Below are 19,838 nucleotides of genomic sequence, written 5' to 3' on the forward strand. Positions count from 1 at the left end.
AGCCTGGGCAACATGGTGCAACCCCATCTCTACAAAAAATACAAAAATTAGGCCGGGCACGGTGGCTCACACCTGTAATCCCAGCACTTGGGGAAGCTGAGGCGGGTGGATCACCTGAGGTCTGGAGTTCGGGACAAACCTGGCCAAGGGGCGAAACCCCGTCTCTACTAAAAATATAAAAATTAGCCGGGGGTGGTGGCACACACCTGTAGTCCCAGCTACTCAGGAGGCTAAGGCAGGAGAATCACTTGAACTCAGGAGGTGGAGGTTGCAGTGAGCTGAGATCGCACCACTGCACTCCAGCTTAGGTGACAGAGCAAGACTCCATCTCAAAAAAAAAAACAAAAACAAATTAGCTGGGCGTGGTGGTGGGCACCTGTCGTCCCAGCTACTTGGGAGGCTGAAGTGGGAGGATCACTTGAGTCCCGGGAGGTGGCGGTTGCAGTGAACCTAAATTGCATCACTGTACTCCAGCCTGGGCAACAGAGTGAGATCTTGTCTCAAAAAAAAAAATTATGTGAGTGGGCTGAATACACAAAATTGTGTACACAATATGTTATGAGTGATTGTCAAGGGGGATTTTTTTTTTTTTTTTTTTTTTTTTAGACAGGGTCTCGATGTATCAACCAGGCTGGAGTGCACTGACACAATCACAGCTCACTGCAGCCTCAAACTCCTGGGCTCAAGCCATCCTCCCACCTCAGCTTCCTGAGTAGTTGGGACTGTAGGTGTGTGCCACTGTGCCCAGCTCCTGAGATAATTTTGCCAGCATGGGGTTTTTACCTACAGTGCCAGCTTTGGATCCAGACACCTGGGCTGGAAGTCCTTTCCATGTATTTGCCACTCCTGTGCTAGAGAAATTTTAGGAGGTGGCTGGGGCGTGAAGACACTGAGGATCTGAGCTGAGTGTTAAGCAGAGAGGGGTGCAAGGGCTCTGTGGGAAGAGGGGAGTTGGGTAAGATGGAATCAAGCAGATCAGGAATAGCACAGAAAAGGCTGTAGGAGGCAGTTGGCTCAGAGTCTCAGAGGCCTTGGCTGGGTGCGGTGGCTCACACCTATAATCCCAGCACTTTGGGAGGCTGAGGCAGGAGGATCGCCTGAGGTCAGGAGTTCAAGACCAGCCTGGCCAACATGGTGAAACCTCATCAGTACTAAAAATACAAAAATTAGCCAGGTGTGGTGGCACGCACCTGTAATCCCAGCTACTTGGGAGACTGAGGCAGGAGAATCATTTGAACCTGGGAGGCAGCGAGTACAGTGGGCCAAGATCACACCACTGAGCAATGACAGCCATGGACTTTTCCCAAGAAGTACTGGGGAGCCATGGAGGTCTTTGAGTGGGGGAGTGACCACAACATATGAAAAGCAGCACTTTATAAAGATGGCTCTTGGGGGACGCCTAGAGATGGGGGAGGCTGGAGGCTGCTGCTCGGGAGGCTCACCTTGAGTCACAGCACCCCTTCAGGCTGGGAGCCAGTCCAGGGGTTTTCTCTAGACAGTGCTCAGCCCAGACGGGGGTCAAGAGTGCTTTAGCCAGAACCAGTCTTTCCCCAGGGTGGACCTGCTACCACTAGGTGGTGTTAACGCCATGTGGTGAAGATACTACATGCTGCAGAACCGTGACTCAGGAAAGGGATTCCTTCTTCAGTTCTATCATTGTATCAAGGAGAAAGTTTCCATTTGGTGCTAATAGGACTTGAACATCTCAAATACCTGCTCTTCTCCCTAGTACAGGCTTCCAGCTCATGGGCTTGACTTAGGAGGACCGAGTAAGGTGGTTTACTTTTTTTTTTCTTTTCTATTTTGAGACAGAGTCTCACTCTGTCGCCCAGGCTGGAGTGCAGGGGTGCAATCTCGGCTCACTGCAGCCTCTGCCTCCTGGGTTCAAGTGATTCTCCTGTCTTACCCTCCCAAGTACCTGGGATTACAGACACCCATCACCATACCTGGCTAGTTTTTGTATTTTTAATAGAGACGAGGTTTCATTGTGTTGGCCAGGCTGATCTCGAACTCCTGACCTCAAGTGATCCTACTGCCTCAGCGTCCCAAAGTGCTGGGATTACAGGCGTGAGCCACCATCGCTGGTCGGTGGTTTACTTTTATTGTGTTTATTTTTGCAGTTACCTTAAATTTATTGGAAATGATGCAATTCTACTACAGTTTCCTATTGATGCAGGTGACACGGTTTCCTTTTCAACAAATTTGCCTTAAAAAAAAAAAAAAAGTCTGAAGCTGGGTACAGTAGTGCATGCCTGTAGTCCCAGCTACTCAATGGAGCCCAGAAGTTCAGGACCAGCCTGGACAATACAACGAGCTGATTTAAGAAAAATATCAAATGTGGCCAGGCGCAGTGGCTCATGCTTATAATCTCAGCACTCTGGGGGAGCCGAGGTGGGTGGATCACCTGAGGTCAAGAGTTTGAGACCAGCCTGGCCGACATAGTGAAACCCCGCCTCTACTAAAAATATAAAAATTGGCCGGGCATGGTGGCGGGTGCCTGTAGTCCCAACTACTCAGAAGGCTGAGGCAGGAGAATTGCTTACCCTAGAGGTGGAGGTTGCAGTGAGCCGAGATCGTGCCACTGCACTCCAGCGTGGGTGACAGAGTGAGAGTCTGTCTCAAGAAAAACAAAGAAAAATATCAAATGTAATAGTATAGAGTAAGAGCAAAATTGAGAAGATGGTCTGTGAATGACTGATGTGTGGGAATCACTCTTTTAAGAAGCCACAACAAATACAAAAATTAGCCAAGCATGGTGGCAGGTGCCTGTAATCCCAGCTACTCGGGAGGCTGAGGCAGGAGAATCACTTGAGCCCTGGAGGCAGAGGTTGCAGTGAGCTGAGATCATGCCACTGTACTCGGGTCTGGGTGACAGTCAGACTACGTCTCAAAATAAAATAAAATAAAAATAAATAAATAAATAAATAAAGATGCCACAACGCTTGTGAAAGCAAGTCCCTGGATTTGCCCTGGCCTGAAAGGCAAGGCTTCCCCGCTCCGTAGAGAATGGATGGAGAATGGAGGGCTGTGATGAACCAGACGGCCCTAGTGGGTGGCCCTTTTCAGCTCTGAGTCACTCTCTATCAATCATCTCTCCTCCTATCTCCTTCCCTCCATGTCTGCATCCTCCCACAAACCGGGGGAGAAATTCACAGGGAATGTGGCAAGGAGGCTGTTTCATCCCGATGGAGTTTCATCCCGACACTGTTACAGCACACAACACCATGCCCAGCCATGCATCTGCACCAGAGTCCTACCCCCACCTCCAGGCGAAGCCCCTGGGCTGAGGGGGAGGAGCCTAGATGATAGGAAACAGACAGCATGAGATACTAAAGTTAGACAACAGGAAGAAATCTGGGTAGCAGAAGTTAGAAGACGTTGGACAAGCCTGGGCGTTTCCTCAGCCAGAGCAGGACAAGAAAGAAAAGGACATTCTGGGGCAGATGGGGAAAATTCAAATGCCAGTGGGGACCAGCCAGGTCACATAAACGAGGGAAGGGGCACCCAACAGGCAATGGAGGGGACTGTGATGATTTAGGCCACAGGCACCCCATAGGGGGTGCCCCTTCTCTGCTCCAGCCAGTTTTGCCTTCAGGAATGTGGCCCAGATCTTGAGAAGCCAAAATCCAGATTTTAAGATAAAATCCCCCAATTTTTAAATGCAGGCAAACAAGCTAGAGGGCTGGATTTGGCCCTGGGGTCACCTGTTTTGCAGCCTCCATCTGGGGCCAGCAAGATTGGATCAACTGACTGCAGGAGGTCCCCTGGGTGAACTTCCAGGCTGGTGTCCCTTATGGCACAAGCGCATAGTAAGCGCCTGCTGTATATCCAGGTTTCTGCCTCTAGCCCAAACCTCCCTCACGTGGTTGAGAAGAAAACTCCACTGGCTGTGCACGGTGGCTCACGCCTGTAATCCCAGCACTTTGGAAGGCCAAGATGGGCGGATCACTTGAGGTCAGGAATTTAAGACCAGCCTGGCCAACATGGTGAAACCCCGTCTCTGTGAAAAATACAAAAATTAGCTGGGCGTGGTAGTGCACGCCTGTAATCCCAGCTGCCCAGGGGGCTTAGATGGGATGATTGCTTGAACCCGAGAGGTGGAGGGAGGTTGCAGTGAGCTGAGATCGTGCCACTGTACTCCAGCCTGGGTGGAAGAAAACTCCAGAACGTGGGAAGGAGTAGGAAGGTGGGTTGGCCCGGGGTAGGGGATACTCACAGGTCCCCGACTGCAGGGTCAGGACCACAACCAGGGGGCTGATAACCAGATGCAGACAGTTGAGGGGCCGTTTCCAGTTCTGGTCATCCTTGTCCGGGTCCACGACGGGGACTGTGAGGAGCAGCAGGAACTCCACAGGCAGCTGTCAAGGGGGCAAAAGTGGGAGGGTGTCGGCAGGGAAGTCTGAATCCCAGCCGGCCACAGATGGACTTCAGTGACTCAAGAGCTCGGCCGTTCATTGCTGAAGCACTGACTGTGTGCGGGTTCCAGGCTAAGTGCCTGGTTGCCTCTGGCTACTGGGACAAATGACCACAAACAGTGACTGTCAATAGCACAGATGTATTCTTGGACAGTTCTGGAGGGCAGAAGTCCTGAAGTCAAGTTGTCAGCAGGGTTGTTCCTTCTGGAAGCTCTAGGGGAGACTGAGGGTCCTTCCAGCTTCCAGGAGCCACCTGCCTTCCAGGCCCCACATCATTCCACCCTGTGCTCCTGTCGCCACTTCTCAGTCTCTGACTCTGACCCTCCTGCCTCCCTCTTTCCTTGTGCCAACCCCTGTGATGACACTGGGCCCACTGGATAAGCCAGGCTCATCTCAGATCTTTAATGATGGCTGGATGCGGTGGCTCACGCCTGTAATCCCAGCACTTTAGGAGGCCGAGGCGGGCGGATCACGAGGTCAGGAGATTGAGACCATCCTGGCTAACACGGTGAAACCCCGTCTCTACTAAAAATACAAAAAATTAGCCAGGCGTGGTGGCGGGCGCCTATAGTCCCAGCTACTCAGGAGGCTGAGGCAGGAGAATGGCGTGAACCCGGGAGGTGGAGCTTGCAGTGAGCCGAGACCGCGCCACTGCACACTCCAGCCTGGGCAATAGAGCGAAACTCTGTCTCAAAAAAAAAAAAAAGATCTTTAATCACATCTGCAAAGGCCCTTCTACCATAAAGGTAACATACTCCCAGGTTCCAGGGGTTAGGATATGGATGTCTTTAGGGGCCACTAGAGGGCAGAGCCCCAGGTCAAGCCATCAGCCAAGCTCCACGCCTCAGTTTCCCCATCAAATCACAAGTCATGTATTCTGAGAGGGTCTCAGTGGACCCCAGGCCCTCCCCCTCGTAGAGCTGGAGAGGGTAGCGTGGCCACTGTCTTGCTGCTGTCAGAAGGCTGTGAGCCTGGCTCCAGGACCCTCCTACCTTGAACACCTTGAGGGCTTTCCAGTATGCTGATTTCCTTCTCCACTTCATGTAATCCAGGGGATTGAGGGCCCGGACCAGGATCTGAGCCGTGGTCTCCTGGTAGAAGAACAGCGGCCGGTACTCATCACCTGTGTGCAGGGGTCGGGTGGTGAGGTGTGCCTGCGGCTGACTTGCTCTCCAGGAAACCTTCCCCGCTCCATCCCACCAGTCCTCCCAGCCCTAAAGGAGGAGACAAAGCCCAGTACTCGGCAGAGGGCAGACAACCCTGGCCCTTGGCTCACCTGAGCTGCAGTGAGAGGTGGGGCCGATTTGGAGCCTCATTCCTGGAGCCCAGGTCTTGGAGGGCCCCATCTTTCCACCCCCAGCCTTTCCCTGTTACCGCCACCCTGGCTGGGCACAGGGCACGGACTCACCGTAGTCATAGCTGTTGGTATTAGAAGATACCCGGTCCTCCTCGGAGTCTGAGAGGATCTCTGCAGGAGAGAGGCCCAGTTACATACAGAACCCAGACCATTTTCGAGGGGGCACACTGGGACAGAGCAGGTTTAGGGGTGCAAGTGTTCAGGCCATCTTATTTACTTAGTTATTTGGGACAGGATCTTTCTCTGTCACCCAGGCTGGAGTGCAGAGGTGTGATCACAGCTCACTGCAGCCTAGACCTCCTGGGCTCACTCAATCCTCCCACCTCAACCTCCCTCCCTCCCGAGTAGCTGAGACTATGCCCAGCTAATTTTTAAAAATTTTAGAGATGGGGTCTTGCTATGTTGGCCTGGCTGGTCTCAAACTCCTGGCCTCAGCAGTCCACCCGCCTCAGCTTCCCAAAGTGATGGCATTACAGGCATGAGCCACTGCGCCCGGCCACGTCCAGGCTGTCTTTATTTTGGATTTCTAGCAGTCTGCATGCGTGCTCAGGGATTCTTACACAGTGAAAGTCTAATTCACCAAACATGGCCAAATGTAAGCATGCAGCTATAATGCTAAAGTTAATAGGGGCATCTGAAGGCACAACTCAAACATTTATTGACTTCAGTGTTGTCCTTTTCAGAATCTGGAACCCATACTATTTTTCTCTTCTCAGGAGGCCTGTGGATGCTGAGAGGCCTGGGACCTGTATGGAGGGGCCTGAAAGGAAAATGGCCCTCCTCGAGTGAGGAGTTAGCTCTCGCCCTGATTCTGCTGCTGAGTGTGTTGTGTGTGTTATCTATGTATGTGCATGTATTTGTTTATGTGTGTGTGCATGTATTTGTATGTGTGTTGTGTATGTGAGTGTATTTGTGTGTGTGCATGTATTTGTGTGTATTGTGTATGTGAGTGCATGAATTTGTGTATGTGTATGCTGCATGTTTGTGTGCATTGATGTTTTTGTGTTGTGTATGGCATGCATGTATGTGTATGTTGCATGTGTGTGCATGTATCTCTGTTGCAGGTGTATCCTGTGTCTATACACATTTGTGTGTTGTGTGAGCATGTATTTATGTGTGTTGCATGTGTGTGCACATATTTGTATGCATGTGCATGCATCTGTATGTGTTGCATGTGTGCATATATTTGTGTCTGTTGTATGTGTGCGCATGTTTGTATAAGTGTGTTGTGTATCTGTGTATGTTGTATATGTGTGCATGCATGTTTTGTGTTGCAGATGTGTATGCATGTATGTGTTGCACATGTATGTGCATGTATTCATATATGTGTTGTATGTACACATTTGTGTGTGTGTTGTGTATTTGTGTTGTGTGTGCATGTATTTGTGTTGCATGTGTGTGAGCATGTATTTGTGTATGTGCGCATGCATGCATCTGTATATATGTTGCATGTGTGTGCATGTACTCCTATGTGTGTTGTGTGTGTTGTATATGTGTGCATGTATTTGTGTGTGTGCATATATTTGTATGTGTGTTGTGTGTATACACGTATGTGTATGTGTTGTATGTGTGCATGTATTTGTGTGCATGTACATGTGTGAGTTGTGTGTGTGCATGTATGTGTATGTGTGCATGTATTTGTATATGTGTGAGTTGTGTATTTGTGTATGTGTGTTGTGTGCATGTATTTGTGTATATGACTGTATTTGAATATTATTGATTTCTTTGTATTTATTTTTTATTTCTCAGTGTCCCTGTCACGGCAGCGTTTGTGTTTTACCCTGAGAATGGTGGGAAACATCAGGGCAGGGAGCAGTGGCGATTCTTAGAGAGATGGCCCTGGCAACTGCATAGAGAGAAGGAAGGAGTGCACTTGAGCCTGCAGGTGATGCAGAGGCTCATGGGTACCAGTGGAAGCACGGAGGCGGGACCTCAGCAGAATGAGTAGAAAGAGCATGAAGAGGAGATGAGCTTGGTGGGGACAATGGCCTCAGGAGACCCTGGGCAGCACTGAAGGGCACAGAGGCCCCCAGTCCCCACTGGTCCTCTCTGGGGTCCGATGCAGACTCTTACCTGGAGTAACTGGCATGGGGCAGAACAGAGATCCTCTCCGTTGCCGTTGGTAGATCCAGGTGCAGAGAATCACAGTGACCACATAGAACACATACAAGCCCAGGTAACCTGCAGACGGGGTGCACGCCGTCACCAAGTGGTGTCCTGGTGCAGGTCTAGAGAACAACAGCTGGCAGTTCTATCAGTGGTGCGTGTTAGCGGTGGCAATCTGTGTTAGCCCATCCAGGTACCAGTGGGTAAATGGCCTTTTCCTTGAGCTCCCCACTCCTTCCTCCTGCCTTCCAGGACCATCTCCCTTCCTGTCTCCCTTGCAATCAAGGAGGTAATACCCAAGCACAGCGAGAGACCTCCAGGTCCCCATTCAAGTACTAAGGGTCGGTGTCCTGCTCTGTGCCCTGGGAGGAGGCAGCCCTGTAGCTCTGGCTACAGCTAGGTTCAGCCAATGGGAGGCCAGACAGGAAATCAGAAGCAGCGGGAGAGACTCTGGAGTCTTTCTTCCTACTCCCTCCCTGTTGCGTGTCTCTGGCAGGGCTTGCAACCCTCTTCAGTATAGCTCCAGGCCTCCAGCCCTCCAACTCTCACTGGGCTCCACCACCCCCTTCCCTGCCCCTGCTGCCACGAGGGATGAGTGCGTTCGCAGCTCCCATTGTTGCTGGCCCCTGAGTATCTCGAATCTCGGTTTCCCTTGCTGGTTTCATTTTCCTTCTGTACAAATTGTCCCTCCATTCATACCCCTTGAGCCGTCTGAATGGAACATGTTTGCTGTCACGATCCGGGTGGCCCCAGTTAGCGTCCCATCTTTACTGCTTGTTAAAATTGGAAATTATGAAACTTTCTTTTTTTTGAGACAGAGTCTTGCTCTGTTGCCCAGGCTGGAGTGCCATGGCACAATCATGGGTCACTGCAGTCTCGAACTCCTAGGCTCAAGGGATCCTCCTGCCGTAGCTTCCAGAGTAGCTGGGGCCACAGGAATGCACCACCACCATGCCCAGCTAAGTTTTTTCTTTTTTGTAGAGATGTAGTCTCGCTATGTTGCCCAGGCTGGTCTCAAACTCCTGAACCAAAGTGATCCTCCTGCCTCAGCCTCTCAAATTGCTGGGATGATAGGTGTGAGCCATCACGCTTGGCCAAAAAATTGTGACACTTTTGAATACTCCCTCCCCAGCCCCCAGCTCTGCCAGGCCTCTTTGGTTATGTGACCCACATGTTCCCATTTTTGCTCAAGCCAGCTTGAGGAGGGTTTCTGTCACTTGTAATCAAATCAAAGCCCCCACTGACCACCCCTCACACCTCTCTGTCCCAGGCACCTCCTAAACCTCCTGCCCATCAGCCCTGGGATCTCACGCCTGAGCCCCAGAGCTGCTCACCCAGAGCCCATGCCAGGGTGACCCTGCCACGGAAGAGCATGAGGAAGGTCAGGAACACAGCCACCATGTAGAAAACGATGTCCCTGAAGAAGGGCCTGGAGGCAGCCATGAAGGGGTGTAGGATGGTAATGCCTCCGGCCACCACTGTGGTAACCAGCACGCCAGCGCCTGGGGGGAGGAGGCCAGAGCTCAGCCACCCTGCACCCTCTCCTGCTGCTTTCCCCGCCCCCCTCACTGGGGCTGCTCTCACCAAACAGTGCCCCAAGGGCCAGGCCGGCTGTGTGCGGGTCAGAGAAGGCCACCAGGGCACTGAAGATGTCAGGTGCACCATTCCCAAATGCCAGGAAGGTGACGCCATGTGGGGAGCATGTCAAGGCGGGCCAGGATCGCAGCTGCAGCCCACCCAGGCCTTCGACCCTATCCCCCAGCTTCCCCACACGGGGATAGACATGACCCTATCTCCCAGCCTCCCCACAACTGCCCTCCCTCCAGGGTGCAGGACACTGGACAAAAGGATACTGCCACGTTGTGGGAGAGCTTCAGTGTGGTAGAAATGGCCGACAAGTTGGGGCAGAAACTACGGAGAAAAAGCGGACGGGAAGCATTTCCGTAGTAACCGGCCCCGGACCCCTATCCTTCCCCCAAACTGAGGGTGACCGAATGTCAGCCTCCTGGGACCCCTCCTCCCATTGATAAGCCAGACCGGAGCCCAGAGCCAAACTCACAACTTGGCTGCGGTGACTCCCAGAATCAGAAACAGGTAGAGCAGCCAGGAAACCTGGGTGGGGAGCGGGCGAGGAAGGGAGAGTCAAGTCCAGCTGGAGACACCAGCCCCTCTCACCAGCCCCCCAGGGCAGGGCCTCACGTAGAGAGTGACAGCCAGAGGGAGGAGGCTGGGAGGGAAGTGGCAGAAGATGCCTTCCAGGTAGTCCAGGTACCCCCCATCACTGTGGCAGTCAGGGTTGGTCCGGATGAAGTCACAGCGGTCAGAGACATTCAGGCCACACACCTTGCGGCACTGCAGGAAGACAGGGAGGGGGACATCAGCGGCAGAGACTTCCCTGAGAACTAGACTAGGCCCATCTAAGCAGCTAAACATAATGTCCCTTCAGCCTGGTCTCCAAGGCCACCATACCCTCTGGGTGCCAACTATGGATGCACTTTTAATTTTAAAAATAAACGTCTGCTTGAAATTGACATAAGTAATTCATGAATACATATTTGTTTTTTAAAAAAACCAATACATAAGATTTCTAAATTCCGCTTTCTTATCCCTGCCCTCCGTAAATCCCCCTCTCCAGTGGTCCCACCATAATTAGTTTGAAGCACATCCTTACAGACATTTCTCAGATCAATTATATTTGTATATATATCCTATTACACACTTTGTTTTGTTTAACAGAAATGGATCCATCCCAAATCTCTTGTTTCTATAATTTGCTTTTACCATTATATATATATATATATTAATATACCTTAATATACAGAATTTGAAACATACTATAGTGATTTCTATATGCAAAGCATAGTGCTAAGAGCTTAAAATGTATCTCAATTAATCTGTACAATAATTCTATGATGGCTGGGGGCAGTGGCTCATGCCTATAATCCCAGCACTTTGGGAGGTTGAGGTGGGAGGATTGCTTGAACCCAGGATTTCAAGACCAGCCTGGACAACATAGCAAGACCCCATCTCTGCAAAAAAATAAAATAAAAAATTAGGTAGGCATGGTGATGTGCACTTGTAGTCCCAGCTACTCAGGAGACTGAGGTGGGAGGATCACCTGAGCCCAGGAGGTTGAGGCTGCAATACTGCATTTAGCTTGGGGAATAGAATGAGATCTTGTCTCAAAAAAAAAAAATATGTATCTCAATTACTCTGCACAACAGTCTGCGAGGAAGGAACTATTATCATGCCCATTAAACAGTTAAGGAGACTGAGACAATGTCCGTGTGCACTCAGTGGGAGGGTCAAGGTTGGAACCCAGGCAGTTTTAGGCTCTAGGGCCCACTGTTCTCCCCTGCCTCCCCACAGAGTCTTTCACTGCAGCAGAGTATTTCATACTATGGGTGATACATCACTGAGGTAAACATTTCCCTACTGGGCATTTGGGTATGCCTAGTTTTTCAATATAGCCAATGAGCTTCCTCACACATGACTCTCTGAGCACATATGAGAAAAATGTTGTCAGAGAAGATTTGAGAAGAGAAAGTGCTGAATCAGAGGGTATCCTGGTCTGGGTTCCTCCAGAAGCTGACTCAGAGACAAAGATTGAGATGGACATAGTATGTTTGGGAGACCTGAGGAACACAAACATAGAGAAAGGGAAGTGGGCCCGGGTGTGGTGGCTCACGCCTGTAACTGTAGCATTTTGGGAGGCCAAGGCTGCAGGATCACTTGACCTCAGGAGTTCGAGACCAGCCTGGGCAACATGACAAAACTCCATCTCTACAAAAAATACAAAAAAAACTAGCCGGGCTTGGTGGCATACGCCTGTAGTCCCAACTACTCAGGAGGAGGAGGTGGGAGGAGCACCTGAGCCTGGAAGTTCAAGGTTGCAGAGAGCTATGATTGTACCACTGCAGTCCAGCCTGGGTGACAGAGTGAGACCCTGTCTCAAAAGAAAAAAATAAAAGAAATAGGAGAAAAGAAGTGGTACAGAGAAGGGATAGCTGCCAACGAAGGCTGGGTTGAGCCAGTTACCACCACCATGAGCTTAATCAGGAGGCAAGGGAGCTGGGATATTTATACACCAACTCTCATCAGCCATTGGGTGAGGACTGCTAGATGGAGGTTTTAGTTCCCCAGCACCTCTAGCCTACTATGCTTATAAGTGGTTCTAGAACAATAAACTGGCAACTGGAAGTCAACAAAAGCCCACCAAAATAGTACAGTCCAAAAGAAATGCTCAAGGCCCTGACAAGGGATCTTCAACATTGCTAGATTTTGCCAAAATGCCCTGGCCAAGCTCTACCTACATACACTCCCACCAGGAATGGGAAATAAGCAATTCTCATAAGCCTGCACCCACATTGGCTATGAGCAGCCTTATTCAGATCAATGTGATAGGAATGTCATTGTTAAACTGCAAGTCTGGCCAGGTGTGGTGGCTCATGCCTGTAATCCCAGCACGTTGGGAGGCCGAGGTAGGCGGATCACTTGAGGTCAGGAGTTCATGACCAGCCTGGTCAACATGGGGAAACCCCGTCTCTACTAAAAATACAAAAATGAGCCAGGCGTGGTGACATCCACCTGTAGTCCCAGCTACTCAGGAGGCTGAAGCAGGAGAATCGCTTGAACCCAGGAGGCAGAGGTTGCAGTGAGCCAAGATCATACCACTGCACTCCAGCCTGGGTGACAAAGTGAGACTCCATCTCAAAAAAAAACAACAACAAAAAAAGCTAAGACAGTAAATTTTAGGTTATGTGTATTTCATTATAATTTTTTAAAAGCTTTGTCAAACCACAGTTCCACCTCCTCCACAAGCCCTCTCTGAACTCCCACTAACACCAGACTGGAAGTGAGATTTCTTATCTCTGAGCCTCTGGCCTTCTCACCAATTTTTGCTAAGAGCTCTACCCACCCATACAGTATCCCCTGAGCAGAGACTGAAACCCCCAGCCCTGCCCCAACCCCTCAATCTTTCTACAGTGTCCTGTCCTCAGAAAGCACATGCCAGCTGGGAAGATGAAATCTGTGGCCAGGTAAACTGGCTCACACCTGTAATCCCAACACTTTGGGAGGCTGAGGCAGGAGGATCGCTTAAGCCCAGGAGTTTGAGACCAACTTGGGTAACATAGTAAGACCCCATTGCTACAAAAAAATTTAAAAATGAGCCAGGCATGGTGGCACACGCCTGTGGTTCCAGCTACTTCAGAGGCTGAGGTGAGAGGATTGCTTGAGTCTGGGAGGTTGAGGCTGCAGTGAGCTATGATGGCACCACTGCTCTCCAGCCTGGGTGACAGAGCAAGCCTGTCTCAAAAAAAAACAAACAAACAAAAAAAAAAACTTTTCTTTTTTTGAGATCAGGACAACCTGAGCATAATACCCACTCAGCCACTCAGCTCTACCTTTTTTTTTTTTTTTTTTTTTGGAGACAGAGTCTCCCTCTGTCACCCAGGCTGGAGTACAATAGCACAATCTCGGCTCACTGAAACCTCCACCTCTCGGGTTCAACTGATTCTCCTGCCTCAGCCTCCCGAGTAGCTGGGACTACAGGTGCCCACCGACACGCCCGGCTAAGTTTTGTATTTTTAGTAGAAATGGGGTTTCACCACGTTGGCCAGGCTGGTCTCAAACTTCTGACCTCAAGTGATCTACCTGCCTTGGCCTCCCAGAGTGCTAGGATTACAGGTGTGAGCCACTGCGCCCAGCCCCTTTTTTTTCCTTTGAGACAGAGTCTCACTCTGTCGCCTAGGCTGGAGTGCAGTAGAGCAATCTTGGCTCACTGCAACCTCCACCTCCTGGGTTCAAGTGATTCTCCTGCCTCAGCCACCTGAGTAGCTGGAACTACATGCACACAACACCACACCTGGCTAATTTTTGTATTTTTGGTAAAGATGAGGTTTCACTGTGTTGGCCAGGCTGGTCTTGAACTCCTGACCTCAAGTGATCCACCTACTTCAGCCTCCCAAAGTACTGGGATTACAGGTGTGAGCCTCCATGCCCAACCAGCTCTACCATCTAAGAGCTGTATCTGTAGCAATTCCCTTCCTCTCTTTGAGCTTCAGTCTCATTTGTAAAATGGGACTAATTATACCAACCCCATTGATAAAAGAATCAAATGAGATTACAGGTGTTCAAATTTGCCCTCCTCAGAGACTTTCCATGTAAAGTAGTTATTACCCCTATCTCCACTATTAATACCCAGTTTTCTGCATTCACAGCAGTTATCACAATCTTTATTTTGTTCATTTCCTTGTTTACTGAATTTTATTATTTTAGAGACCAGGTGCTTTGTCACTCAGGCTGGAGTGCAGTGGGGCAATCATGGCTCACTTCAGCCTCGAACTCCTGGGCGCATGTGATCCTCCTGCCTTTGCCTCCCAAGTAGCTGGGACTACAGGCATGCACCACCACACCCAGTTAATTTTTTTAAAAATTATTTTTTGTAGAGATGGAGGTCTTGCTATGTTGCCTAGGCTGGTCTTCAACTCCTGGCCTCAAGCCATCCTCCCACCTCAGCCTCCCATTGTGCTGGGATTATAGGCGTGAACCACCAAACCTGGCCTTAATTTTTTTTTTTTTTTTTGAGACGGAGTCTCGCTCTTTCGCCCAGGCCAGACTGCAGTGGCGCTATCTCGGCTCACGGCAAGTTCCGCCTCCCAGGTTCACACCATTCTCCTGCCTCAGCCTCCCGAGTAGCTGGGACTACAGGCGCTCGCCACCACGCCCAGCTAATTTTTTGTATTTTTAGTAGAGATGGGTTTCACCGTGTTAGCCAGGATGATCTCGATCTCCTGACCTTGTGATCCACCCGCCTCGGCCTCCCAAAGTGCTGGGATTACAGGCGTGAGCCACCGCGCCCAGCCCTGAATTTTTTTTGTCTGCATTCTTGTATTTGCCCTGAGCCTGGCCTGTAGTAGGGGCTTAATACATTTGTGTTAATGGCTGCTTGAATGACTAAGTGATTTTGTGTAGCCTTTCCAACACTCCTGCGAGGCAAATGGAATGATTCCCCTTTAACATATGGGTAAGCCAAGGGTCAGCAAACTTCGGCCCCTGGACCACATCCAGCCCACCATCTGGTTATGCACAGCCTGCAAGCCAAGAATGATTCTTACATTTTTAAATGGTTGGGAGACATAAATCAAAAGAAGAATTTTCCATGACATGTAAAATTATATAAAACTCAAGTTTCCATTTCCATAAATATTTACTGGGGCACAGCCACACCCATTCGTTGATGTACAATCTGTGGCTACTCAGGCACTGTGAGAGCAGTGAGTAGTTGTAGAAACCATGTAGCCCACAAAGCTGAAAATATTTACTGTCTAGCTCTTATTCTATTCTTTCTTTCTTTTCTTTTTTCTTTTTTATTTACTTATTTATTTTGAGACGGAGTCTTACTCTGTTGCCCAGGCTGAAGTACAGTGGTGAGATCTCAGCTCACTGCAACCTTTGCCTCCTGGGTTCAAATTATTATCCTGCCTCAGCCTCTGGAGGAGCTGGGATCACAGATATGTGCCACCACGCCTGGCTGATTTTTTTATTTTTAGTAGAGATGGGGTTTCACCATGTTGGCCAGGCTAGTCTCAAACTCCTGGCCTCAAGTGATCCACCAGCCTCCGCCTCCCAAAGTGCTGGGATTACAGGTGTGAGCACTGTGACTGGCCTCTTTTCTTTCTCTCTCTTTTTTTTTTTTTGAGACAAGGTCTCACTGTTGCCCAGGCTGGAGTGCAGAAGCATGATTATAGCTCACTGCAGCCTCAAACTCTTAGGCTTAAGGAATTCCCCCGACTTCAACCTCCCAAGTGGCTGGAGCTACAAATGTGAGCCCACAACCCGGCCCTACTATCTGGCTCTTTACAGAAAGTCTGTGCCCCAGGCTGGAGTGATGGTGTGCACATCCCAACCCAGGCTTGGGAATCTCCATCAACTATTCCCACCAAAACATGCAGATGCAAGTCTCAAGTTTCTGTCCTGAGCTTCCCTTATCCCATCCCCAGCTCCCACCCAAAAGCAACAGTCAGGCTGGGCTCCTTCCATACTGGGAGGGGGAGGGTTTCAGTCTTGCCCTAAGCCTGGGCCTGTGGCTTTGCTGGGGCCCAGGAATTTCCCAGGGAGATAAAGTCACCCAAGGGGTTTCTGACAAAGAGGGTCCCACCCAGCACAAGGAGGAAGGACACTAGATGGGGGCCAGGGAAGCAGGCGGGCTGCCATTTCCTCCTCTGGGAGGAACAATAATAATCATATTGGGAGGCAGTACAGCTCCCTCTACTGAGCCCTCCTCTCTCATGAAACTGCCTGGTTGAAATTCTAATTTGCGTCCTTCTAGGTGAGTGATTTTGGGCAAGTAAATTAACCTCAGTGTTCTCCTCTGAACAATGGGGGCAATAACACCCACAAGCCTAGACAGGAATGGGATAAGGACATGGAGGCCAGGCATTGTGGCTCACATCTGTAATCCCAGTGCCTGAGCCCATGAGTTTGAGACCAGCCTGGCCAACATGGTGAAACTCCATCTCCACTAAAAATATAAAAATTAGCCAGGCACGGTGGCGTGTGCCTGTGTTCCCAGCTACTCAGGAGGCTGAGGCAGAATAACTTGAACCCGGGAGGCGGAGGTTGCAGTGAGCCAAGATCACACCATTGCACTCTAGGCTGGGCAACAGAGTGAGACTCTGTCTCAAAAAAAAAAAAAAAAATAGGCTGGGCGCGGTGGGTCACACCTGTAATCCCAGCACTTTGGGAGGCCAAGGCAGGTGGATCACCTGAGGTCAGGAGTTCGAGCCCAGCCTGACCAACATGGTGAAACCATCTCTACTAAAAATACAAAAAGCCGGGCATGGTGGCAGATGTCTGTAATCGCAGCTACTTGGGAAGCCAAGGCAGGAGAATCGCTTGAACCCAGGAAGCAGAGGTTGCAGTGAGCTGAGATTGCACCATTGCACTCCAGCCTAGGCAACAAGAGCGAAACTACGTCTCCAAAAAAAAAAAAAAAAGGTTGCATTATCATCATCTAAGTTTTAATTATTTATTTATTTATTTATTTATTTAGAGACAGGTTCTGTCTATGTCACCCAGGCTGGAGTGCAGTGGCGTGATCACAGCTCACTCCAGCCTCAACCACTCAGGCTCAAGCAGTCTCCTACCTCAGCCTCCTGAGTAGCTGGCACCACAGGTGCGCATCACACGAGGCTAATTTTTAAATTTTTTGTTGAGAAGGGGTCTCGCCTTGTTGGCCAGGCTAGTCTCAAACTCCTGGGCTCAAGTGATCCTCCCGCCTCGGCCTTCCAACGTGCTGGGATTACACAGGTGGGCCACCAAGCCTGGCCAGAAATTTTTCTCTCTTAAACAATACTTGAATTCATCCCTTCCTTCCATCTCCACCAGCACGGAGAACAACTGCAGAGGTTCTCATCTGGCCTCCTACCCCCAATCTTACCAGAGGGGCTCTTTCTAATGTGCTCCCTCCTCCAGCTGCTGAAGAGCTCTCCTTTGCCTGTTTTTGGTCCCTGTGTTCTGCCCTTGTCAGTCTCCAGTAAAGCTCGTCTGGTCAGCTGTCAGGTCCTGGAATGCCCAGACCCTCCTGGCATTGGTCCAGCTTTTGTACATGCTGTTCCTTCTGCCTGGTGCCACGATTATTTTTCCTCTATTTAATCCACATTCACCACCCAATTCTTGGTTCCCAGGACACTTCTTGCAGGAAGCCCTCCCTGACTACTCCCAGCCTAGCTGGCCCTCCCAGTTACTTTTTTTTTTTTTTTTCCTTTTTTGAGATGGAGTCTTACTCCATCGCCCAGGCAGGAGGGCAGTGGTATGATCTCAGCTCACTGCAACCTCCATCTCATGGGTTCAAGAGATTCTCCTACCTCAGCCTCCCGAGTAGCTGGGATTGCAGACGTCCACCACCATGCCCAGGTAATTTTTGTATTTTAGTAGAGATGGGGTTTTGCTATGTTGGCCAGGCTGGTCTCGAAATCCTGGCCTGAAGTGATCCACCTGCCTCGGCCTCCCAAAGTGCTGGGATTACAGGTGTGAGCCACCGCACCCAGGCAGGATCATAGACTTGCTTAATATCTGCCCCTCCCACTAAAGTCTCGCACAGTGCCTGGCAGAGTAGGCCCTCCTAACAGTTGTGCTGCACACCGTGCTGGGCATCATCTCACCCATTCAGTCTTCATCAGAGACCCAGGAGGTTGGCACAATTGTTTCCACTTCACAGATGAGAAAACTGAGGCACAGAGAGGCAAAGTGGCTTGCCCAGGAGCACACAGCCCACCACTGAGAAGTGGCTCCAAACTCAGCTCCGCCTGAAAGTTACTCGCTGAAGCTCCTGAGGAAACTGCCCAACTGGGCAGGGGCAGCCTCCATTTCCTGTCCTCTCACTATCTTCCTGCCCTCCCTCCTCCCTGTCCTCGGGGTCAGCTAGGGAGGATGCAGGGAGTCACCCCATCTCCCTGATGGCAGAGTGAGTCAGCAAGGTGGGTCCCCCAAATCTGGCCTCCAAAATCACATTACTGTGCAGTCTGTCTCGCTCTGCCCTCCCCGAGCTGCACAGCCCTCCCCCAGGTCCCTCAGGACCCCTCCCCAGCTCTCTGCTCAAGAGAGACAGAGTAAGGTGGGATTGCTCTGCGTCTGGGGGAGGGAAGGAGTGACTTCACTTCCTTCCAGTCCTTCCCACCCTCTTTCCTATGTCACTAACTCAGTCCCAGGAAACCCAAAGAGGTGCACACAGAGGTCAGGCTGGACAGGAAAGGGTAACCAACTCAATACCTTGGAATTCTTATAAAAACTTACATCAGATCACATCCTCTTGTGCTCTAAAGCCTCCCATGGCTCCCACCTTCCTCCCACTGACAGCCAAGTCTACAGTGGTCCCCAGGGCCCCTGTTCTCTCCTGCCTGGTCTCCCTTCCTTCTCCCTTGCTCACTGTTCCAGCCACTTTGCAAAATCTGTCATTCTGCTCCTGCCCCAGGGCCTTTGCATCTACTGTTCCCTCACTTCCCCTGGATCTTCATAAGCCATTCAGGTCTCAGTCTAAATGTCATGTCCTCAGAGAGGCCTTCCATGATAGCCTAAGCAAAGCAGCACCCCCCTCCCCCTCACCCTGTGGAATGATTTGTCAACTTGCTTCTCATCCATGACCCCACTAGAGTATAAGCTCCAGGGGGGCAGGGACCAGGCTCTCTGCTTCCTGCTATCCCCTCAGCACATGGCACAGGCCCTGGCACATAGTAGGTGCTCAATAACTATTTGTTGCATTAATGACTACTTGAAAAGGACCTAAGGTAAGGGGCTGGGGGGGCCTTTCCCAGCCTGCAGGCTCCCTGGATGGTGGGGACTTCCAGAAAGGCAGCTGCCCCATCTGTCCTGTGAGGCGGTGGACTAGAGGGGAAGGGGATGGATTTAGCATGAAGCAGCCAAGGGTTCTCATCCTGGCTCTGCCACTTTCCTCCTGGCCACCTTCACCTCCCTGAACCTTGGAGTCTTCATCTATAGCACAGAGATAATCACTCCCACCTCACGGGGTTTGGGGGAGGACTTGTGGGCACAAGGCTGATCTAAGTGCTCAATAACTTGGAGAGATTATCTGGCACAATTATCTGGTATGATCTCCCAGTTTTCCTGCCCCCAAGGAGCACGCTCCAAGAGGGGGTACTCAATTTTATAACCACAGTAACCACAAACCACTTTCCCATCTGTAAAATGGGCTTAATTGCCTGTTGCCTGTTTCACAGGGTGGACTTGAAGGCACTTTGCAGCCTCATAAAGTTGCTGTGGGCATTGAATGCTCTCAGCCCATCAGTTTGAGTTTGGGATTCCTGCTGAAGAAATGGTGAGAACTCCAGTCCCTGGCAGCTACAGGGCACTCCAGGGGGTCATCTTGAGCAGTCCTCTGCTTTTGTTCCTTCACTCCAGATCTGCTGTGACCTCCTCTTCTCCCCTTACAGACATCAGAG

The 19,838-nt window shown here is 50.5% G+C and overlaps 1 protein-coding gene across 4 annotated transcripts in view, besides 1 other annotated feature; it reads right to left on the reverse strand.

Moving 5' to 3' along the window:
- The window catches only part of SLC8B1 (solute carrier family 8 member B1), a 36,339-nt gene that overhangs the window by 12,348 nt on the left and 4,153 nt on the right, over positions 1–19,838 (reverse strand). For 3 of the 4 annotated variants that reach the window (NR_152403.2, NM_024959.4, NM_001358345.2), the window contains exons 3-11: positions 10,078–10,230; positions 9,938–9,990; positions 9,732–9,789; positions 9,463–9,568; positions 9,213–9,380; positions 7,846–7,953; positions 5,824–5,883; positions 5,408–5,538; positions 4,217–4,358 (exon numbers count right to left, since the gene is read on the reverse strand). Coding sequence is in view for 3 of the 4 variants with exons in the window: in NM_024959.4 (NP_079235.2) it covers positions 4,217–4,358; positions 5,408–5,538; positions 5,824–5,883; positions 7,846–7,953; positions 9,213–9,380; positions 9,463–9,568; positions 9,732–9,789; positions 9,938–9,990; positions 10,078–10,230 (979 nt within the window). In the remaining variant the exon portion in view is untranslated. The remainder of the gene's footprint in view (positions 1–4,216; positions 4,359–5,407; positions 5,539–5,823; positions 5,884–7,845; positions 7,954–9,212; positions 9,381–9,462; positions 9,569–9,731; positions 9,790–9,937; positions 9,991–10,077; positions 10,231–19,838) is intronic. The other variant, NM_001330466.2, reaches the window with a different exon arrangement.
- Positions 11,373–11,573: a silencer, noted in NCBI's record as "peak1972 fragment used in MPRA reporter construct". NCBI's record gives its function as "represses an SCP1 promoter by STARR-seq MPRAs in K562 erythroleukemia cells {active_cell/tissue: K562}" and the evidence as "EXISTENCE:reporter gene assay evidence [ECO:0000049][PMID:32103011]".

This window comes from Homo sapiens, chromosome 12 (assembly GCF_000001405.40).
Source record: "Homo sapiens chromosome 12, GRCh38.p14 Primary Assembly".
In the NCBI taxonomy this organism is placed as follows: Eukaryota; Metazoa; Chordata; class Mammalia; order Primates; family Hominidae; genus Homo; species Homo sapiens.